Source organism: Homo sapiens, chromosome 16 (assembly GCF_000001405.40).
Source record: "Homo sapiens chromosome 16, GRCh38.p14 Primary Assembly".
NCBI lineage: Eukaryota > Metazoa > Chordata > Mammalia > Primates > Hominidae > Homo > Homo sapiens.
Window position 1 is genome coordinate 22330209 of NC_000016.10, and position 24083 is coordinate 22354291.

At 41.2% G+C, this 24083-nt stretch overlaps 2 protein-coding genes and 1 long non-coding RNA gene across 11 annotated transcripts in view, besides 1 other annotated feature; 1 reads left to right on the top strand and 2 right to left on the bottom strand.

Moving 5' to 3' along the window:
• The window catches only part of POLR3E (RNA polymerase III subunit E), a 37688-nt gene extending 32800 nt beyond the window's left edge, over nt 1-4888 (top strand). For 6 of the 8 annotated variants that reach the window (NR_047581.2, NM_018119.4, XM_011545892.3 and 3 more), the window contains 2 exons: nt 1852-1977; nt 3436-4888. Coding sequence is in view for 7 of the 8 variants with exons in the window: in NM_018119.4 (NP_060589.1) it covers nt 1852-1977; nt 3436-3492 (183 nt within the window). In the remaining variant the exon portion in view is untranslated. The remainder of the gene's footprint in view (nt 1-1851; nt 1978-3435) is intronic. The other 2 variants (NM_001258033.2, NM_001258036.2) reach the window with 2 other exon arrangements.
• Nucleotides 3702-14547, bottom strand: LOC124903664 (uncharacterized). Its single transcript, XR_007065026.1, has 2 exons — nt 12674-14547; nt 3702-8274 (listed from the first exon to the last, which is right to left on the bottom strand). It is a non-coding gene; the product is annotated as an uncharacterized LOC124903664 (long non-coding RNA).
• A 1180-nt stretch (nt 14548-15727) lies between these two features.
• CDR2 (cerebellar degeneration related protein 2) overlaps nt 15728-24083 on the bottom strand; it is a 28684-nt gene continuing 20328 nt past the window's right edge. For both annotated transcript variants that reach the window (XM_024450143.2, NM_001802.2), the window contains 3 exons: nt 19493-19641; nt 19071-19235; nt 15728-17615 (listed from right to left, as the gene is read on the bottom strand). In XM_024450143.2, the coding sequence (XP_024305911.1) occupies nt 16757-17615; nt 19071-19235; nt 19493-19608 (1140 nt within the window). In that variant the 5' untranslated portion in view covers nt 19609-19641 and the 3' untranslated portion in view covers nt 15728-16756. The remainder of the gene's footprint in view (nt 17616-19070; nt 19236-19492; nt 19642-24083) is intronic.
• Nucleotides 16669-17169: an enhancer, noted in NCBI's record as "H3K4me1 hESC enhancer chr16:22358198-22358698 (GRCh37/hg19 assembly coordinates)". NCBI's record gives its function as "activates a minimal SCP1, AML or CMV promoter by ChIP-STARR-seq in primed H9 embryonic stem cells {active_cell/tissue: H9 hESC(primed)}" and the evidence as "EXISTENCE:reporter gene assay evidence [ECO:0000049][PMID:30033119]".

Consider the following 24083-nt stretch of genomic DNA (forward strand, 5'->3'; position numbering starts at 1 on the left):
TTGTGCTGCCTCACCCAGCTAATTTTTGTATTTTTAGTAGAGATCGCGGTGGTAGGGGTCGGGGGGTGGTCCCACCATGTTGGCCAGGCTGGTCTCGAACTCCTGGCCTCAAATGATCTGCCTGCCTTGGCCTTCCAAAGTGCTGGGATTACAAGCGTGAGCCACCACACCAGGCCTTTACCTCTTTTTAATTGGCTATCATTGTTTATAGCATTGTCACAGAATGAACTGAAAATCTATCCATTGTAGAGCCAAACATCAGTAATATACTATGATTGCATTTCCTTGTTCACTGCTTCCTGTTTTCACTTGTGTAATTTTCTGAACACATGTGTACCGAGGGTGATACTTTGCTTAATTAAGCCTGGTTCCCGGGAAGCCTCTCCCTCTGCTTCTCCAGTGAGACTCGCTCTTCCCCATGTCTGTTGCTGAATTCTGGAATCTCTGCTTCTTCCTTGCTTTAGCTTCTGAAGAGACAGAGGAGTTGTCTGCATTCTTTCATGTCTTAAAATGGATTACAATACAGTATTACTGTTTGTCTGGGACTAGAATTTTAAGAGGCAAAGGATACTTCATGTAGCAGTCAGCTGTTTACATGAACCATAGCAAAAAAAAAGGAGAATCAAATCCATCTCCTCTTAATGTTTGCAGAAAGATGCAAACAAAACCAGCTAAGTATGGAACAATGTGTGAGGTTATCAAAGTTTCTATTTTTACGTGATCAAATGATTTGCCTCTCAAAATTCTAGTCCTAGACAAATAGTGATACATGAAGCATCCTTTTTTTTTTTTTTTTTTTTTTTTTTTTTTTTTTGAGACAGAGTCTCCCTCTGTCAGCCAGGCTGGAGTGCAATGGCACGATCTCGGCTCACTGCAACCTCCGCCTCAGCCTCCTGAGTAGCTGGGATTATAGGCGTGTGCCACCACGCGTGGCTGATTTTTGTATTTTTAGTAGAGACGGAGTTTCACCACGTTGGACAGGCTGGTCTCGAACTCCTGACCTCAGGTAATCCGCCTGCCTCGGTCTCCCCAAGTGCTGGGATTGCAGGCGTGAGCCTCTGCGCCCGGCATGAAGCATCTTTAAGAGAGTTTCCATTGTTTAAGTTTTCAGAGTTGTTGAAATTCCATAACATTCTCCTTCTTGGTCTTTTAAATTTGGCCTGTATTCTTTCCTTTATGCCAAACTGCAGAATTTTTCATTATTCTGTATATCAGTCAGTGCCATTTCAGCTGTGCCCTGGTGCGGGTCATTATTGTACTAGACAATTGAGTTCTTATAAAATCCTGTGAGTTGTTACTTTTTTTTGTTTTTTTCAGAATTCTTATGACAGATATTAGACATACTGAATCCAATCTTTTCCATTTTTATTTTGGGGTGTAACGTATTTTACGGCATCCTGTTTCATGGATGCAGTGGCATGTTTGTGCATTAAGACTTCACACCAATTTTGACACCCTCTTCTCATCTCCGTGCAGCTTAGATTGTCGCTTCACCTGCTTGCTAAGTCCGATGCACGCCTGCATTTTACCATGCAGAAATATGTTCAAGCCACTCATCCTCTCATGTCTCTTCACCAGTTCTTTTGTTATGCTGGCATATACCTTTGTTTTTATTTATATTCAAGTTTCCAGACATAGCATTAATGCCTTTACTTTTGTGTTTTTATTTCTGTACACTGTCTTGCTGGGTCTCTAGAGATGACTTGGCTCATCTTTAACCAGAGGTGCTGCGTGAGGGTTTTTATCAGAGACTGCAACACAAAGTCAGGTGCATGGCTTGGGTGTCTTGTTTGGGGATGTTTCTCTTTTTAGATCACTGTTTCCCATCATAACGTGTTTTTGCTACTAAAGCATCGACAGGTTTTGCTTGAAATTTTTTCCAAAAATTACCGGGTACGCCGAAACATGATCCAGTCTCGGTTGACTCAAGAGTGTGGAGAAGATCTCAGTAAACAGGAGGTGGATAAAGTACTAAAGGTACATCCATTTTGTGCATAACAAACAATATCAAAGGCTCTGGAAGGGGCTGACAGTGTGTAGAAGGGACTCTAGTGTCTTTGTGTATATGAAATCAGGCTTCCTTGGGACCACTCCCCAGTCAGTCTTGTCTTGAGCAACTGTTAATGATTGATTGATTGGCATTGGTTGGGGAAGGGGGTATGTGCCAGAGGACTGACCCCTTCAAACAATATAGTCACAGTGGTGTCCAAGGGAAAGAATACAGCCATGGATGCTTTGTTTCTCTTTCTGGTTGGGCCAGGCCAGTAATGCCCCTTTCATCCCTCTTCTCTGCTTGTCACTAGAGACAGAAACTAAAAACCATGGCTTCAGGCTGCTAAGAGCCTAAAACAATAGAACAACAAAAAAATATGGTAGGTTGGATGAGCTTGGCAGTGGGTAGGCGTCTTCTAAAATGATAGGGCCTAGTTGAGAATCCTCACTCTACTCTCCCTTGAATTTTGAACTATCTTCTGATTGTTGCCATAGCCACACACATGACTTTCAGTAGAATCCATTCTTAAATTTAGTTTAAAAAGGAATATGATCTGTTTACTATATGAAAGCACCTAATGTACAACCTATAATGCTTTTCTGAAGTGACTGTAGTACAAATACCAACCATATTTGCAGCAACACTGAGAGACAGAAAACTGATGACAATGTCTTGTTTTGATTAAACATCCAGAGCCATATAAGTAATACTGTTTTTTAAGCACCCTTGTTCTGGGCATGTCAGTATCTGTATTTCGTAGACCCCCTTTTTTTTTTTTTTTTTTTTTTTTGAGATGGAGTTTTGCTCTTGTTGCCCAGGCTAGAGTGCAGTAGCACAATCTCGGCTCACCGCAACCTCTACCTCCCAGTTTCAAGCAATTCTCCTGCCTCAGCCTCCTAAGTAGCTGGGATTACAGGTGTGAGCCACCATGCCTGGCCCACCCTCACTTTTAAAATGCCCCTGAGGAATGGCCAGGCGCGGTGGCTCACACCTGTAATCCCAGCGCTTTGGGAGGCTGAGGTGGGTGGGTCACTTGAGGTCAGGAGTTTGAGACCAGCCTGACCAACATGGAGAAACCCCATCTCTACTAAAAATACAAAATTAGCCAGGCGTAGTGGTACATGCCTGTAATCCCAGCTACTTGGGAGGCTGAGGCAGGAGAATCGCTTGAACCTGGGAGGCAGAGGCTGCAGTGAGCCAAGATCATGCCGTTGCACTCCAGCCTGGGTAACAAGAGCAAAACTCTGTTTCAAAAAAAAAAAAAAACACTACCCCTGAGGAAAGGGTGGCTGGTAGTAGCCATGGTGGTATGGTTAGGCAGTTTTTGATTTCCCATTTGTATTCTATTCACTAATCATAAATCGAGTGTTGACATTGTGGACAGAATGTAATTAGCTCCTTTTCCTGCAAAAATCTGTGCTTACCCTGTTTCTCTCTCATAGGACTGCTGTGTAAGCTATGGTGGCATGTGGTACCTTAAAGGGACAGTACAGTCTTGACAATAGTAGCAAACTACTAACCCAGCAAATCTAAGCCCAAGGAAGAAGGGCGGAACCAGAAGTAGGGCCTCGACTTGCTTCAGACGACACAGAGCAAGAGGAACTGACCATCTCATGACCTGTGGCATTGCACGGTGCAGTGGACAGAAGGGATTATCCTCAGCCAGTCGCAGGGTCAGCTTAAGTTAGTTAGATCACTCCCAGAAGAGACCAGCTGGGACCTTCTTTGCAGTACAATTTGAAATTCCTGATGTATTTTGCTTATTATTTGGTTTCATTCTCATAATAAAGAGAGTGTATACTGACATGGGCAGGATGATAAAAATCATGGTTTAATATTTTCTTTTGTAAACTTAATGCCAACAAGGTCTAAGTTATGTTTACAACATGAAGAAAACCTCAAAGTTCTTAATTTTTAAAATGCCTAGAAGACAATATTTAGTCTTGGATTATCTATCTGCTAAGACCTCCACCAATTTCATTAAACCAAATTGAATTATTCTATTCTTGGGATTCTGTGGCCACTTCACCTTTGACAACAACCTACTTTATGTAGCAGTCTCAACTGTTTACATGAACCATAGCAAAAAAATCAGAATCAAATCCATCTCCTTTTAATGTTTGCAGAAAGATGCAAACAAAACCAGGTAAGTATGGAACAATGTGTAAGTGAGGTTATCACACTTTGATGTAAAAATTTCTATTTTGTGTATTTTTAAAATAAATGCAAACACTAAACTAGCATCATGGTGCTATCTTCAAATGGTTACAGGAAGGCGATCTTGTTGGGCTCAGCGTTACGTGTATCTAGAGGGAACGGAGCTAATGGAGGAAGACAGAGCAGCACTGTCCACTAGAAAGAGGCGAGTCACGTACATAATTTTGAAAGTTTCTAGCAACCACATTAGTTTAAAAAGGTCATGTTAGCATATTATTTAGCTCAAAATATCTAAAACATCAACATAAGGTAAAAGTCTTCAAAATCTGGCATTTTACACTTTCCTCAACACTCAGTTTGGACTAGCCACATCATAAGTGCTCCGATGCCACATGGGGCTATTTGCGACAGTATTGGATAGCACAGCCCTAGAAACTGATGGAAAAAATAAGAGTAAGCTAGGTTGGATGACATGTGAATTTTGGTATCTAGATAAGGCTTTCGCCATCTTTTTTGTACAACACAGTCACTAATTGTCTGAAGGTTTAAATGACGGTCTATGCTATTTCCCCACTCCCCCCAAAATAAAACATCTAATATTTTAGCTATAGAATCACTAAGGCATTGATCAAGGATGTACTTTGCCAAATAAGTATTTGGTAACATCACTTAACAAGTTGATCGTGTATTGATTCTGTTAACATATGTGAACCTGAAAAGTAAAGTTACCAAAAGCGATTTGGAATATGTCTCAGCTTTTCCATCCTACTTCCTTCTCACTTTGAAAGGGGAAATGCTCATGTGGGACGGCACAGAATGTTAGTCCCATCACCTTGCAGAACTTAATTGGCTCAGTGGAGAAGTCAGAGCCTTAAATACTTTACATTGATAAAAAGAACTGGTTAAAACACCAAACTCAAATAGCAAGAAAAAGAAACAAGGAATATAGGAGGGAACTATTGTTTTAAAAAAAATTGAGGGAACTTGGGATGTCAGAATAGGACTTTCCAGCACTCATCCCCCTGCAGAAACATGAATTTAAACAACTGTCCACACACAAAAATACCTTCACAAGAGTTAAGGAACCTCTAGAGATTACAGCACCTTGGTGTACCACAGAAATAAGATGTACTAAAGAGGATAGGAGGGACAATTTTACATTACCTAGCTTACCCCCTCCCCAGCCCCAGGCAGCACAGGGTGGAGAGAGAGAGAGAGAGAGAGAGAGAGAGACCCTCTACTTGGAGGAAGGAGAACATTGGACCCCAAAATCATGCCAGCCCCAGACTCCAGGCCTGCGCCAGGAACACAGGCTCTAAGCATACCCACTGCCAGGCCTGCACCCATGAGCTCACACTCTAGCAGGCACCCCCTCCCCACCCTGGTCCAGCCCCATCTGAGTAAACCCCAGCACTGGGCTGGCCCTCACAGACTAGGCTCCAATATCCCCTGCAGCCCCAGGTTCTAGGCCAGCCCCCATGGCCCCAGGATCCAAGCGAGCCCTCAGAGACTAATCTCCAGGCCAGTATCTATATACCCCTGGCTCCAGGCTGATCTATATGCCCCCATGCCAGCACCCACAATCCCAGGCTCCAGTACAATACCCCTGGACCCAAGGTCCATGTGTGCCTCAGCACCAGGCTCCAGTGGACCCAGGTTCCAGGCACATACCTCAGTAAGCCTCAATGCCAGGCATGCCCTGGCGGACTGAGGCTCCAGAACAGTCCCTATGGACCCAGAACCTAGGCCCACCCCTGCAGGTTTTTAGGCTTCAGGTCAGCTCCCTGGATGCAGGCTCCAGGCCTGCCCTTGTGGACTCAGGCTCTGGTTGTACCCCTGCAGACCCAATCAACTGGCCCACTCCACTGGACCTACGTTCCAGGATTAATCCTATGCATGCAAGCACCAGGCTCATCCATCTGCTGACCTAGGTACTAGGTCAGCCTGCTCAAGGACTCCAGCAACAAGCCTGCCCACAGAAGACCACACCAGACAACTTGCCCAGAATCTCTGAATGGGCTCACTGGTAAACGGCTGTTCCAGGCAAAGTCAGACTGCAAAGATTAGAATCAGTCCTTACCACTTCATCCAATGTACAGACATCAACATATGACCACAAGGATCAAGAACAATCAGGGAGACATGCTATCACCAAAGTAACAAAATAAAGCACCAGAAATCTACCCTAAAGAAATGGAGATTTATGAACTGCCTGACAACTCAAAATAGTTTTAAGGAAGTTCAGCAAACTTCAAGAAAATACACAGATATAACTCAACAAAATAAAGAAAACCAAATCAAGAAACCTAATAGATTGAAGTTATATATTTTTTACAAACCATTCTGAAGCTGAAAAATAATATGAATGAAATGAAAAATGGAATAGTGAGCATCAACAGAATTGATCAAGCAGAGAATCTATGAACTCAAAGACAGATTATTTGAAAATATAGCCAGAAGAACAAAAAGAATGAAAAGGAATGAAGAAAGCTTAAGGGATTTATAGGACAGCATCAAAAGAGCAAATATTTGAGTTATAGAAGTTCAGTAAGGAGAAGAAAGAAATAAATCACAAAATAGTAGCAGAAAACCTTCCAGATCTGGAGAAAGATATAAATATCCAGGTATAAGAGTATCAAAAGTCTCCAATCAGATTCAGTATGAACAAAACTATACCACGACACATTATAATGAAATTGTCAAAAATCAAAAGACAAAGGGGAAGATCCTAAAAGCAGCTAGAGAAAAGAAGCAGATCACATATAAGGGAGTTCCAATAAGGCTAGCACTTCTCAGCAGAAACCTTACAGGCCAGGAGAGAGTAGGATGATATATTCAGAGTGCTAAAGGAGAACAAATTGCCAACCATGAATACTTTATCCAGCAAAACTTCAGAAATGGAGAAAAAGACATTCCCAGACAGACAAAAGCTGAAGCATTTCATCATCACCAGCTCTGTGTTTACAAAAAAATGTGAAAGGGAGTTCAAGCTGGTAGAAAAGGATGTTAATTAGTAACATGAAAACATATGAAAGTATAAACCTGGTAAAAGCATAATGTCAAACTCAAGAATACTCTAATACTGTAATGGTGGTATATATATTGCTTATCTTTAGTATAAAGGTTAAAAGATAAAACTATTAATAGCTAATTTGTTAAGGGATACAAAATATAAAACTTGTAAATTGTGACCTCAAAAACAAAATGTGGGAGAGAGAATAAAGTATAGTTTTTAATGCAATCAAAGTTATCTGCTTAAAATAGTCTGCTATCACTGTGTTTTACATAAGCTTCATGATAACCACAAAGCAAAAACCTATAGCAGATATGCAAAAGATAAAAAGGAATCAAAGCATACCTCTAAAGAAAATAAATCACAAAGGAAGACAGTAAGAGAGAAACAAAGGATCTACAAAACAACCAGAAAACAACAAAATTGCAGTAGTAACTCCTTACCTACCAACAGGGATAGGTAAGGAGTTACTACTGTGAATGTAAATGGATTAAATTCTCCAATCCATTTACTGTGAATGTAAATGGTTTAACTCTTCCATAATCCAAAAACGGAGTGGCTGGATTAAAAAAAAAAAAAAGATCTAACTATATGCTGCCAAAAAGTGTCTCATTTAACCTGTAAGGGACACATAGAGACTGAAAGTGAAGGAATGGAAAATGGCATTTCATGCAAATAGAAACCAAAAGAGAACAAGAGAGCTATACTTACATTAGATAAAACAAACTTTAAGTCAAAACTGTAAAATGAGACAAGGTCACAGTATAATGATAAAGGGGTCACTTAACAACTGTAAATATTCACTCAATATCTGAGCACCTAAATATAGAAAGCAAATATGAATAGCTCTGAATGGAGAGACAGACTGTAATACAATAATAGTAGGGGATTTCAATATCCCACTTTCAGTAATGGACAGATCAAGGCCAAAAAAAAAAAAAAAAATCAATAAGAAAGCATCAGATTTTACACATTAAACAAAATGGACCTACCATATACAGGAGATTCCATCCAACAGCAGAATACACATTCTTCTCGAGCATACATGGAATATTCTCCAGGACAGATCATATATTAGGGCGGTATCTTTTCTGACCACAATGGTATGAAACTAGAAATCAGTAACAGGAGGAATTTCAGAAAATTTACAAATACGTGGAAATTAAACATGCTCCTGAACAACAAATAGGCCAATGAAAAAAACTAAAAGGAAAAATTTTAAAAATATCTTGAGACAAAAATGGACACAAAACATGAAATACAACAAAAGCAGCTCTGAGACAGAAGTTTATAGCAATCCCCACCCACATCAGAAAGAAAAGACTTCAGATAAACAACCCAATGTTACACCTCAAGGCACCAGGAAAATAAAAAGAACTAGGCCCAGTTAATAAAAGGAAATAGGCCAGGTGAGGTGGCTCACACCTGTAATCCCAGCACTTTGGGAGGCCAAGGTGGGCAGATCACCTGAGGTCAGGGGTTTGAGACTAGCCTGACCAACATGGAAAAACCCCATCTCTACTAAAAATGCAAAAAAATTAGCCATGTATGGTGACACGCTCCTATAGTCCCAGCTACTCGGGAGGCTGAGGCAGAAGAATCGCTTGAACCTGGGAGACGGAGGTTGCAGTGAGATGAGATTACGCTACTGCACTCCAGCCTGGGTAACAGAGCAAGACTCCATCTCAAAAATACATACATATATACATAAATGGAAATAATAAAGACCAGAGCAAGACTACGTCTCAAAAATAAATAAAAGAAAGGAAATAGTAAAGACCAGAGCTGAAAAAAATGAAAAGATCAACAAAATTCAGTTGGTTTCTTGAAAAGATAAAATTGACAAACTTCTAGCTAAGAAAAAATAGAGAAGACTCTCATAGAATTAGAAATGGAAAAAGATAATCCCAGCACTTTGGGAGGCCAAGGCAGGTGGATCACCTGAGGTCAGGAGTTTGAGATCAGCCTGGTCAATATGGTGAACCCCATCTCTACTAAAAAATACAAAAATTTGCTGGGCATGGTGGCAGGCACCTGTAATCCCAGCTACTTGGGAGGCTGAGGTAGGAGAATCACTTGAGCCTGGGAAGGGAATGTTGTAGTGAGCTGAGATCCCACCACTGCACTCCAGCTTGGGCGATAAGAGTGAGACCTTGTAAGAAAGAAAGAAAGAAAGGAAAGAAGGGAGAGGGAGAAGGGAAGACATTACAACTGATTCCATAGAAATACAAAGGATCAGGCCAGGCACGGTGGCTCATGCCTGTAATCCCAGCACTTTGGGAGGCCAAGGTGGGCGGATCACTTGAGGTCAGGAGTTTGAGACCACCCTGGTCAAAGTGGTGAAACCCTGTCTCTACTAAAAATACAAAAAATTAGCCAGGCATGCTAGCAGGTTCCTGTAATCCCAGCTACTTGGGAGGCTGAGGCAGGAGAATCACTTGAACCCGGGAGGCAGAAGTTGCAGTGAGCCAAGACCATGCCATTGCACTCTAGCCTAGGCAACATGAGCAAAACTCCATCTCGAAAAAAAAAAATTAGCTGGGTGTGGTGGTACATGCCTGTAATCTCAGCTACTTGGGAGGCTTAGGTGGGAGAATTGCTGGAACCCGTGAGATGGAAGTTGCAGTGAGCCAAGATCACGCCACTACACACTCCAACCTGGGAGACAGAGCAAGACTCTCTGTCTCAAAAAAAAAAAAAAAAAAAAAAAAAAGAGAAAAGAAAAGAAATACAAAGGATCCTAAGAGACTACCATAAAAAATTACCAGCAAACTGGATAACCTACAAGAAATGGATGAGTTCCTAGACACATACAGCCTACCAAGACTGAATCACAAAGACACCGAAAATCTGACCAATGAGTAAGAAGGTTGAATCAATAATTTTAAAAAGTCTGCCATCAAAGAAAAGCCCAGGACCTGGTGGCATCATTGCCGAATTCAACTAAACATTTATGGAAAACTACTACCTATCTTTCTGAAACTTCCAAAAATTTGATGAAGAGGAATACTTTCAAACTAATTTTACAAGGCCAGCACTACCCTGATATCAAATCCAGACAAGGACACTATAAGAAAAGAAAATTAGGCCGAGCACAGTGGCTCATGCCTGTAATCCCAACACTGCGAGGCCAAGATGGGCAGATCACCTGAGGTCAGGAGTTTGAGAACATCCTGGCCAAAATGGTGAAACCCCGTCTCTACTAAAAATTAACCGAGAGTGGTGGCGCATGCCTGTAATACCAGCTACTCAGGAAGCTGAGGCCGGAGAATCGCTAGAACCTGGGTGGCGGAGGTTGCAGTGAGCCAAGATCGCGCCACTGCACTCCAGCCTGGGCGACAGAGCGAGACTCCACCTAAAAATATAAAGAAAGAAAGAAAGAAAGAAAATAAAAGCAAATTAGACCAATATCCTTATATCCTTGATGAACACAGCTGCAAAAACCTCACCAGAACTAGCAAACCAAATTCAGCACATTAAAAGGCTCATTCACCAGGATCAAGTGGGATTTATCCCAGTCTGGGCAATATAGCAAAACCCCATCTCTGCAAAAAAAAAAAAAAAAAAAAATTTTTTTTTTTTAATTAGCCAGGTGTGGTGCTGTGTGCCTATTGTCCCAGCTGCTTGGAAAGCTGAGGCAGGAGGACTGCTTGAGCCCAGGAGTTTGAGACTGCAGTGAGCTATGACCACCACTGCACTCCAGCCTGAGTGACAGAGTGAGACCCTGTCTCCAAAACAAAGTTGGATTTATCCCTGGGATGCAAGGATGGTTCAATGGTTCAACATATGCAAATCAATAATTGTGATACACCACATTAACAGAATGAAGGACAAAAACCATATAATCTTCTCAATAGATGCAGAAAAAGCATCTGAAAATTAACAACCATTCATGATTAAAAAATCAACAAACTAAGTATAGAAGGAATGCCCACTCTTACCTCTTCCATTCAACAAAACACTGGAAGTCCTAACTATAGCAATTGCACAGGAAAAATAAAAGGCTGGTGGCTCACGCCTGTCATCCCAGCACTTTGGGAGGCCGAGGCAGGCGGATCACCTGAGGTCAGGGGTTCGAGACCAGCCTGGCAAACATGGTGAAACCCCCACTCTACTAAAAATACAAAAATTGGCCAGGTGTGGTGGTGATAAGCCTGTAATCCCAGTTACTTGGGAGGCTGACGCAGGAGAATTGCTTGAACCCAGAAGGCAGAGGTTGCAGTGCGCTGAGATTGCGCCACTGCACTCCAGCCTGGGAGACAGAGTGAGACTCTGGAGAAAAAAAAAAAAAAAAAGGCATCCAAATCAGAAAGAAAGAAGTCAAATTGTTCCTGCTTGCAGATGACATGATTTTATACATAGAAAATGTGTGTATCTACATGCAAAAGAATGAAGTTGAACTCTTATCTTACACCTTACACAAAAATCAACTCAAAATGGATTAAAAACCTATTTTTAGGCTGGGCACAGTGGCTCACACCTGTAATCCCAGCACTTTGGGAGGCTGAGGCAAGCGGATCACTTTAGGTCAGGAGTTTGAGACCAGCCTGGCCAACATGGCAGAACCCCGACTCTACCAAAAATACAAAAAATTAGCAAGGCGTGGTGGAGCATGCCTATAATCCCAGCTACTCTGGAGGCTAAGGCAGGAGAATCACTAGAACCTAAGAGATGGAGGTTACAGTGAGCCAAGATCGCACCACAACTCCAGCCTGGAGGACAGAGCGAGACACCATCTCAAAAACAAAAACAAACTAACAAAAAAACCTATTTTAAGAACTGAAACCATAAAACCTTAAGAAAAAAAAATAGAGGAAAAGGTCTTTGACATTAACCTTGGCAATGATGTTTTGACTGGGACACCAAAAGCACAGACAACCAAAGCAAAAACACAACAGGACTACCTCAAACAAAAGCTTCTGTACAGCAAAGGAAACAACATGAAAAGGCAGCCTACGCACTGGGAGAAAATACTTGCAAACTATATATCTAATAAGGGGTTACTAACCAAAATATATAGGGAACTCAATAGCATTCAAATGAATAACCTGATTTTAAAATGGGCAAAGCATCTGAATAGACATTTCTTCAAAGACATAAAAATGGCCAGCAGGGATATAGCTGCTCAACATCACTAATCAAGAAAATGCAAATAAAAACCACAATGAGATATCTCACGTTAGGATAGCTTTTATCAAAAAGACAAGAAATAGCAAGTGGTGAAGTTGTAGAGAAAACTGAACATTTGTACACTGTTGATCAGAATGCAGATTGGTGCTGCACTGTGGAAAACAGTATGGATGCTCTTAAAGATAGAACTACCATATGATACAGCAATCCCTCTTCTGGGCACATGCCTAAAGGAAATGAAATCACCACCTTGTAAAGACAACTCTGTCCCCATGTTCATTGCAGCATTATTCACAGGAGCCAACATATGGAAACAACCAAGGTGTCCATCAACAGATGAATGGATAAAGAAATTATGCTATAATAATATACATACATACCATGGAACTTCAGCATTAAAAAGGGAGGTCCTGCCATTTGCAACAACAGGGATGAAGCTGGAGGAAGACATCATGTTAAATGAAATAAGCTAAACACAGGAAGAAAAATACTGCATGATCCCACTTATATGTAGAATCTTAAAAACAAACATCATCAACAACAACAAAAACAGTAAAATAGTGGTTACCAGGGGTGGGGGAAATGGGAAGAGGCAAGTCAACGTTGCAGTTATGTGGGATGGACAAGCCTAAGAGATCTAATAGACAACATGAGGGCTTCTAGTTAATAAAATTGTATCATATACTGGTAACTTGCCAAGAGAGTTGATTTTAGGTACTCTTATCACATACACGGGTATGTTATGATGGGTATGTTAATTTGCTTGATCTTAGTAATCACTGTATATATCAAGTATATCAAAACATTGAACATATTAAATATATACAATAAAAAGAACATAAGAGGATACAGACATGTATATAACAAAGGAAAGAGAAAAATGAAAATAAACAAGTTTTATTTGATGAAACAACAAAAATATGTATAGTTCTTTTTCTTTTTTTAGAGACAGGATCCCACTATATTGCCCAGGCTGGAGTACAGTGGCTATTCACAGGTGCGATAATAGTGCATCATAGCCTTGAACTCCTGGGCTCTAGTGATCCTCTTGCCTCAGCCTGCCAAATAGCTGGGACTATAGGTGCACACCACTGTGCCTGTCTCATTTTTGATATAAATTCTTAAAACAGGAATAGATGGATTCCTGATTAATTAAAAAAAATCCAACATTATGCTAAATCAAACAATGGACATATTGTTTAGGATTCAGACAAGCAATTTTACTCCCACCATATTTAATATTCTGGATATTTCAGAGCATTTAAACAAGAATAAGTGTAAAAATTAAGTAGCCAAACAATATTTTTCCAGGTATATCAAAAGAGTCAAATAAAAGATATTCCCCCATGATAATTCAACAAGATAGCTGAAATCAATAGCTTTTCTATACACAACTAGTTACAAAGTATAGCAGGAGAAGAATCCCACTTAAAACATCCAAGAGACAAACCTTTAAAAATATGCGAGACATAAATGGTAAAAATTTGAAAACTGAGACATACAAAGACCATTGGAACAAATGGAAAAACACATAACCGTTCATGACCAGCCTGGCCAACATGGTGAAACCCCGTCTCTACTAAAAATACAAAAATTAGCTGGGCATGGTGGTGGGAGCCTGTAATCCCAGCTACTCGGGAGGCAGAGGTTTCAGTGAGCCAAGAATGCACCACTGCACTTCAGCCTGGGTGACAGAGTGAGACCCCATCTCAAAAAAAAGACATATAGCCATGTTTTTGGATAGAAGCCTCCGTATGATTAAGCCTGTTCTTATTAATCTATTTATTTAACTTGATCTTGATAAAAGTACCAATTTCCCCTCAAGAACCAGACAAGCTAATTTTAAAGCTCATATGGGGAAAAAAAATGCAAAAAAAAAAAAAAAAAACCAGGAAAATCCTGAAAGAGTAATGAGAGTTTAACTTCCCCTTAGCAGTTATGAAAATATAAATATCCAAGTACAGCAACTTAAAACTACAAAATAAGACAATAAAAAATAAAAATTTAAAACTGCATTAGGTACATGAAAATCAGATCCTAGAAGAAATAGGTTAAAATTCATGTAGACATTTAGTACTAATATGGGTGGCATTTCAAGCGTTGGTGGATAGACTTCAGATGGATCAAAGAACTCTCAAACACAAAAAGAGACGTGTTAAAGATTCATATACATAAAAGTGTCCAGGTGTGGTGGCTCACACCTGTAGTCCTAGCACTTTGGGAGGCCAAGGCAGGCAGAACACTTGAGGCCAGGAGTTCGAGACCAGCCTGGCCAACACGGCAAAACCCCATCTCTATTAAAAATACAAAAAGTTAGCCAGGTATGGTGGCACGTGCCTGCAGTCCCAGCTATTCAACTTGGGAAGGCTGAGGCACGCGAATTACATGAACCCGGGAAGTGGAGGTTGCAGTGAGTTGAGATCGTGCCATTGCACTCCAGCCTGGGCAACAGAGTGAGATGCTGTCTGCCCCCGCTCTAAAAAAAAAAAAAAAAATTTTTTTTCATATACATAAAATTGTGCTTGGTGAAAAAAAAATGCCATTAACAAGGTAAAAACTGCTGGGTGTGGTGGCTCGTGCCTGTAATCCCAGGAGTTGCCTTTGGAGTTACCTTTGGGAGGCCAAGGCAGGGCAGATTGCTTGAGCCCAGGAGTTCGAGACCAGCCTGGGCAACAAGGCAAAACCCCATCTCTACCAAAAGTTAAAAAATTAGCTGGGCATGGTGGCACGCACCTCTGGTAGGAAGGCTGAGGTGGGAGGATTGCTTGGGCCCATAAGTCAAGGGCTGCAGTGAGCCGTGTTCATGCCACCACGCTCCAGCCTAGGCAACAGAGCAAGACCTTCTCAAAAAAACAAAAAACAAAAAAAAACCACACACAACAAAAAAATCAGATAAAAATTAAGATAATCTGGGACAAAACACTTTCAAACTTCTAACTGCAAAACTGCATATATAAATAGAGCTCTTTAAATAGGCAAAGGAGACTACAAATGGCTAACAGATTAAAAAATATTGTCTTATTAATAGAAATGCAAACTGTTTTTAAATAAGCTATACTATTCAAACATTAATAGTATAGTTTGAATAGTATAGTTTGAATAGTATAGTTTCTTTGCTATGGTTGATCAAATGTTTTGAGAATCAATTTGTCAAATGCTATTAATTCAGAACCAAGTCTGACATTTCTGAAATAGTGAAAATTACAGAGTATATAAATTTGAAAATGTTTGTCCAGAGTAGTTTTAATGAGCATTTAGCAATATGAGCAGAATTTGTGCTATTAAGTTACACAAATCCAAGGATTCCCTGTTTAAAATAGGAAAAAAAAAATCACTGCAAATCTTTCTCGCGATATTTGTTGGAAGAAAAAAAGTGAACAGTTGGTTATAAGAGCGAAATGGCTTATATTGAAAGTAAGACACAGATCCATCTGTTCATTTTCATAGGTAGCTTTATTTGGTTTTTAGAAAAATATATACAATAATCGGAACATCAGTTCTTAAATAGTTTTAAGTTAAAAGAATGCAAGTGAGAGGATGTTTCCACAGTCAGATCAATACTGCTTAATAAAGTAGATAGGAATTTCTGCAACAAGTCAAAACATTTACAGGAATGGTAAGAACTCTGCAAGAGCAGCTTGTGGCTGGCAAGTCAGCCAGCTCAGAAAACAGGTAGGAAGGGAAGGGGTTTGATCTTTCCCCTTTAGTTTGAATTTGAGAAAGTGATAAAAGATTTACATATTCACCTATCCTAAAGGCTAGAGCTTTGAGTAAAAACATTAGAATACAGGGATGGAGGCCCTCTAGGGCATATGCTAACAAGCTAACTTATATCAAACAAAAATTTGCCATCTCAATTTGGTATTCAGTTGGATTTGGATATATTAGGATTACCTGTCAGTCACAGTTCAACTAGTTCAGATATAACAAAACTCAAGGACTTGGAGTATTGGTTAATGACATTTCTTTTGGATTAGACCCCTGCTTTCTCTCGAACATTCTTCGTAATGAATTCACAGTATTCAAACTGTTTGCAAAGATATTTGAGTTTGACAGCCTTCTGACTTTCATCGTTTTGAGAAGTTGCGCAAGGAAGCAATAGGAATTGCCTTAGCTTTGTTCTAACTCGACCCTTTTCCCCCATACTGTAGTAACTCCAGGCCTACTTCTCCAGAAGTATAGCTCTTCCCTCCACTGGTCCTTTTCAGGAACTGAAGTCTAATCAGCGCGCCAGCCAGAGGCCAGTTTGTCATGGGATTTCCTGGGGAGCTTAAATGGAAGTGGATCAGAGAACTGATACCACTAGCCACCTCCTTTCCTCGTTGTATGCATTTGCTAAATAAGCAAAGCAATGAGGCAAACGTCATGAGTAACATTAGGCTTCAGAGTCTACAAACACTTGTCTGAATGGGAGAGAGAGGCGATAGGCAATAGGCAAATTAGTAGTAGAGCTAGAGGTTCAATTAAGAATGAGAGGAGAGTGATCGGTATTTTGTTCTCTGTTCATCTATTTCCTGCTTAGTTTTCTTGATGCAACTAAAGATCTCCTTAAACAACGCTTTGTATTCTGGAGGTGTTGTAGGGGAACTCACGGGCTCTGGGTTGACAGAGGCCAGTTCCCAGCCGCTGGCAACAGGCTCAGACTGGGCGTTCACTCCAGTCAGGTCCTTGGCTGCAGCCCTGGAGGTCTGCACAGCCTTGTGTGACAGGGAGTCCTGTTCCTCTTGGCACTTCTTCAGCAACTCTTCATACTTCACCTTCAGGGCGCTGTACTGCGTGTCCACTTCGTGCAGAAGGGAGATGCCCCTCTGTTTCACAGCCTTGGCCCTCCTGATGCAGGTCTCCTCGTGGCCCTTCACGATGTCACTCCCTGCCAAGCTGCTGAGGATCGTCTCACTGCTGCTGCGCTTGAGAGGCTTTCTATGTGATTCCGGCACAGTCAGGAACATCTCTTCCAGCAGGCTCTGGCTGGGCTCTTTGAAAGGAACATACAGAGAGTCTGGCACCAGCTTCTCAACTCCATTCACAAATGGATGCTCTGACTGCAACATCTGTCGCATCTCTGCCACCTCGGCCTCTAGTTCCAGCGCCCGTGCTCGGTAGGCACCTGTGGCCCCCAGCTGCTGCTCCAGTTCACTGTTCTCCTTTAACACGAGCCCATATTCCTCCTCCATAGTCACCCGCTTCTGCCGCTCCAGGCTCAGCTGGGCCTGCAACATTGTCACTGTTTTTTTCAAGTGCTCATTTTCCTCTTCATCAGGGCTTGGCTGACCTTGCAAGGAAGTGATCTTCTCAGCGAACACATGATCATACACGAAGTGTCTAGGGAAAAAAATATTGAAAGAATATATTACACAGGTCCACTGAAAATGACGAGAGGAAGACTGGTGATTTTTTTTCAACTAAATAAATTTGAGGAGCTGTGACAGTGACTAATTTTTTTTTCTTTTTTTTTGAGACGGAGTCTCACTTTGTCGCCAGGCTGGAGTGCAGTGAAGCGATCTCAGCTCATTGCAACCTCAGCCTCCCAGGTTCAAGCGATTCTCCTGCCTCAGCCTCCCGAGTAACTGGGATTTTAGACATGCGCCACCACGCCCAGCTAATTTTGTATTTTTAGTAGAGACGGGGTTTCTCCATGTTGGTCAGGCTGGTCTCGAACTCCCAACCTCAGGTGATCCTCCTGCCTTAGCCTCCCAAAGTGCTGGGATTACAGACGTAAGCCACCACACCCGGCCAACAGTGATTGGTTTTTAGCCACACTTGGAGCAGTGGCTAAAATGGAATTGTGTGAGGCTGGTAAATAAACACATGAAAGCAAACTCAATTTTTGTGACAAATCTTTTTTTAATGTTAAAAGTACTAGAGAACATCTATTCTAGCAGTATGACAATGACCTCACAAGGGAAACCTTAAAAAGTACTGGTGCCTGGGTCCCAACCCACAGATTCCAACCTAGTTGGTCTGCTACCTGGCCTGAGGGTTTCTAAAGGCTCTCCAAATGATTCATAATATGTAACTACGATTGAATCACTACAGCAAATTACTGTTGCTGTGGTGATTTTTAACCAGGAATGTTCATCAGAATTGCCTGGGCAGCTTTTTACCCGCACCTAGAAATTCTGATTTAGGCCTGAGGAAATGTGTTGGTATTTGCATTTTGAAAAACCCCACAGGTGATCTGATGTACAGCCAAGGTTGAGACCCACCAAATGAACCACCTGGTTTCTCCTGCTCAGTCTGAAGCACCTTGACTATTTATTTGTGTTTTTATTTGCTTATCTGCCGTTCCGTTAGACTGAAAGCTCACAGGGGTAGAAACTATTTTGCTCGCCAACCCTTGGGTCTAGCATACAGCTTGCCACACAAGTGTTCCATAAATACTTCTTAAAGATTCAGACTTATAACTCTAAATTATAAAGGTACTTCTTTAAGCAAAAAATCTCCTGTTCGCTTGAATTTTTGTTTTACCAGTATTTCTGTTTTTCTTCACTCTAATGTAAAACACAACTCCCAAATCTAGTCTATCAGAATTCATCTTAAACTATGATTTAATACATTAAAAACACTGAAATAAGTGTTCCAAGACTTTCAAAATGAGAACTACTAATATCTAAGAACTCTGTAATTTATATGTTTAAGTGATTTTGTTCAAACCAATGGTAGCTTAATAGCTAAGTGACTTTTCTTAAAATGGTACTTTCAATCTACTGGAAATCAGAATGTGCCAATGACATGAGACAGTCCCTGCTGTAACTCCACAGAAAGGCAGGCTCTTACTGGCGGAGGTCATACAGCTCCTTCAGACATGCAAAGCTGGGTGCCGGTTTCTCCTGGTCACACTTTCCCGGGCTCCTTCTCCCTTGGCCAGATGACTTCAGCTCCTCCACTTGGCTCTGGAGGTGATCAATGTTGGTTTGCAGGCATTCAATCGTTTCAGTCAGGCTGTGAGGAACAGACAGAAGCCACTGCTGCTTGTCATATTGAATCAAGGGCAAAAGCGGTGAGGAGAGATTAGGTGCAAACCACTCACACTGGGCTTTCTTAATTGGAAAGGATGTCTATTTAATCTCCATTCTCCAAAAAGAATTAAATTAAACCTTATCCCATATTGACCCAAACCCACTGCAGCCATGTTCTATTCTAGTTTATACTAAAGAACTTCCCCCTAGTCCTTCCTTGTCAGATTCTAGAAAATTTACCTCAGAATCTTTTGCTGTGAGGCCTTGCTGTCAGCAACTAGCTTTTGATTTGTTTCTTCCAGTTCCCTTGCTGTGACGTCTAATTGTTCATAAACCTTTGCATGTTGTTCGTTCATCTGCCGTAGAAGTTCCACTTGCTTCGTCAGATACTGTAAGAGAAGATCAGGACCAGGTGACACAAACAGATAAGATACCTGCTGTTTCTTGGCTGGCTGCGGTGGCTCACGCCTGTAATCCCAGCACTTTGGGAGGCCAAGACGTGTGGATCACCTGAGGTTAGGAATTCGAGACCAGCCTGACCAACATGCTGAAACCCCGTCTCCACTAAAAATACAAAAATTAGCCAGGTGTGGTGGCACACGCCTGTAATCCCAGCTACTTGGGAGGCTGAGGCAGGAAAATTGCTTGAACCTGGAAGACAGAGGTTGCAATGAGCCGAGATGGCGCCATTGCACTCCAGCCTGGGCAACAAGAATGAAACTCCATCTCAAAAAAAAAAAAAAGATACCTGCTGTTCTGCTGTTCCAACACCAATTCTCCGATTGTCAGCACCAACTCTTGTTGGGGTGGGGCTGACATAGAGTCTCCATCTCTGGGCTCACTGGCCTCCCAGCACTGCCCAGAAGCTCCTTTAGACCCATTTCAGTTTTCTCCAGGTCTTCTCTCACATCAGCATGATTGATTCAATTATTGGCCATTGGTGACTGAACTCAAGCTCCAACCCTTCCCTCTATCCAGAGGTTGTGGGGCTGGGACTGATAGATCTAACCCTCTAATCATGTGGTTGCCTTCTCTGGTGACCAGACCTCAACCTATCAGGAAATTCCAAGGGTTTTAGGAGTTCTATGCCAGAAACCAGGGACAAAGACCAAATATATAATTTTTATTATACCACAATACCATATGTTTATTTTAAGAAAAGAAGAAATTAAACTCCCTGTCTTCATAAGAAATGAGCACAGGCTGTCCTTTATATGCTTAGCTCCTCTAATGCTCACCAATACCCCAGTGCATTGTGAGGCTAATTTTCCAAAGCATATACCATGCATAAAATTAATATTCAACTAAAAAATCTAAAGTGAGACATAACAATCCCTTAAGACAAAAAACATGGAACATGTGATCAAAGTTTAAGCAAAAACATCATGTTTAACAGAAATAAAGCCTAACGTGGAGGATTTTTAAAAAAAATTATACTCTAAGTTCTAGGGTACATGTGCACAATGTGCAGGTTTGATACATAGGTATACATGTGACATGTTGGTTTGCTGCACCCATCAACTCATCATTTACATTAGGTATTTCTCCTAATGCTATCCCCACCCCGACAGGCCCCAGTGTGTGATGTTCCCCACCCTGTGCCCAAATGATCTCGTTGTTCAATTCCCACCTATGAGTGAGAACATGCAGTGTTTGGTTTTCTGTCCTTGTGATAGTTTGCTGAGAATGATGGTTTCCGGCTTCATCCATGTCCCTGCAAAGGACATGAACTCATCCTTTTTTATGGCTGCATAGTATTCCATGGTGTACATGTGCCACATTTTCTTAATCCAGTCTATCAACTGATGGACATTTGGGTTGGTTCCAAGTCTTTGCTATTGTGAATAGTGCCGCAATAAACATACGTGTGCATGCGTCTTTATAGCAGCATGATTTATGATACTTTGGGTACATACCCAGTAATGGGACTGCTGGGTCAAATGGTAATTCTAGTTCTAGATCCTTGAGGAATTGACACCCTGTCTTCCACAATGGTTGAACTAATTTACACTCCCACCAACAGTGTAAAACGTTCCTATTTCTATGTGGAGGATCTTAATTTGGAAAAAAAAATCAATCTCTTTCTCTGAATGAGGCATTCTGGACCAAAAAAAATGAAAAGTATGTTGCTTTGACGAGAAATATATTTTAGCTTAATATGCTTCAAAGACTCCTGTTATTTTTAATTTTATGAGAGTTTTATCACCATTATCCTCCTTATTCACGAGAAATTTATCAGATGATTTATTCTGGTCCTGCTAAGACTGCTTCCTAAATGGCCAAGGATAAAGGGGAATAATCCCAACCTTAATGCCGCAGTGTAAGTCACCTTGATTCCCTCCCTGCTCAGCTCTACCTGAAGACACTAAAACACAGTATATATTCCAAAGGAAAAAGTCACAGTATTTCCCTGGACAGAACCAGAAAGAGGGGAGAAATGGTTTGAAGCTTACTGATGATCAAACTGTAAAAGACTCAGAACTTGACTTTAAAAACACTCTTCTTGGCCAGGCATGGTGGCTCACACCTGTAATCCCAACACTTTGGGAGGCCAAAACAGGCAGATTGCTTAAGGCAGGCCAGGAGTTCAAGACCAGCCTGGCCAACATGACAAAAACCCACCTCTAATAAAAATACAAAAATTAGTCCGGCGTGGTGGCACGCGCCTGTAATCCCACGTACTCAGGAGGCTGAGGCATGAGAATCTTTTGAACGTGGGAGGTGAACGTTGCAGTGAACCGAGATCGTGCCACTGCACTACAGCCTGGGTGACAGAGACTGTCTCAAACACAACACAACACACTCTTCTTGAGGCTTTTTCTACAACTCTAGAAGGATTTGCAAGGCTAACAAACAATGGGCTAAATGACACTCAACGGGCCCTTAAAGTGTTGAAAAAAGCATATATGGCTTTTTTTTTTTCAAATCCATTTACATAACTCAGCAGCAAAGAGTTGAACAAACACTTAACCTAACTTCAACTTTCTCATCTGAAACTCTTGAAGTCAAAAGTGTTTTGGAAAATTCTTTAAATTTTAGAAAGACAACATGGCGCTCATACCTGACACACAGCTGACACCTTATAATACCTGTGAGGTCTGGGCAGCACCCTGTAATCAAGCATTAATATTTCTGCATCAAAAAGTATGAACTAAGACTATAAACAGCCTCACATCAGTTCAGGTAAAGATCTACTACCAAATGAATCTGTTGCAAATTTAAGGGGAAAAAAAAAATCTTGCTTTATAGAGCTTTTTGAGTTCGGAATTAGTAAGTGGATCTGTTAGTACCTACCATGTAGAACTGGCAGAATTAAATGAGAAAGGTGAGCACATGGCACGGTCTATAAAAGCCTGTGTGTAGTCTTCACTGCCTCAACTCCCACCAGCTTCTTCTGGTCCTTTGGAAATCAACCACTAATTCTCATGCGTGAAGCTTTCTCAGAACTAAAGGAGTAGGCCCTTAATCCTGCCCTCGGGCTAGTAATTCCATAGTAGGTTCTTGTCATTGATGGGAACATGTTCAATCTCTTAGGAATTGATGAGATTCCACAGGAGCGGAAAAAAGGCTTAGAATCACAAGAATATATATATAATAGCTGCAGAAATGTTTCAAGCTTCTTTATATCAAGTATAAATTATCAAGTATTCTTTAGGACTCAGAACTACCTTTAAAAAGGCTAATGCATAAGCCAGACATTAATTTATTAATATACAACAGGAACTGTTCCTGCCCAGTGACAAGAATATTCACATCCTCTATTAGGACACAGCTGCCCCACAAAGGGCATGTGAAAGGCCGATTCATGAATGAGAGTCTCTGGTAGACATGGGATCAGAGGAGTCTGATGGGAGGCAGTGGTATAGTAGCTAAGAGCACAGGCTTTGGAGTCAGAACCTGGTTTGAGGTCTTGCTTTGCTGTTTAGAACTGGGTAACCTACAGCAAGCACATTTTTCTAATGTGAGTTCTCCTCATCAACTACTTCATAAGGCTGTAAAGATAAATATGTGTGTGGGAGAGACTGGACTATGTCACCCCAAAGCATGCGTCTTTGGCATAAAAAGGTTCCTGCCTCCTCCCTCTCTACCAGGGAGAACAAAGGTTAACCACTAACAACTTTAGACCTTTATGGGCCAGAAGACAGCACCAGAGGAATCCACACTAACAAGCTTTGCTAACGGGCCTTTATCACCACTTACTTGCCTTCCCACAAGTTCTGCCCCTAGACAAAGTTCTTCCCCTTTGTCTTGTCACTTCTCTAAAAAATTACCATTCTTTGTTGAAGATACTACATAAGCTGGAATTCAAAGCCACCTCTGAGAATGACTCATCCCCTGGGTATCTCCCACACATATAAATGAAATAGATATGTTAGTAAGCTTGTTTTTCTCTTGTTAATCTGTCTTTTGTTGCAGGGGTCCTTTCCAACTAAGCACTCATGAAGGTTGAGGAAAAAAATATTTTTCCTCCCTGACATATACAAATATATAATTTACAAAAACGTTAATATATGTAGAGAGCTCAGCATGAGATCTGGCAGATGGTAAATTGCTCAATAAGGAGAAGCTACTGTCATCTTTATTTAAAGCTACAGTTTTCAAACTTTACATGTGCTAAGATTCACCTGGAAGAAGATTTATTAAAGTGTAAGAACCTGGGTCCCTTCCCCTCAAACGGCTGAGACTGGAGTAGAGCCAGGATTCTGCATTTTTAGCAACAAACCCAGGTGATATTAGTACAGGCAGTCCAGAGATCACACTTAGAGAAATGTTGATCTTGGACATGGAAAATCCTGGACGTCCCCTGCCCTGACCAATGTCCTTTTCTCTT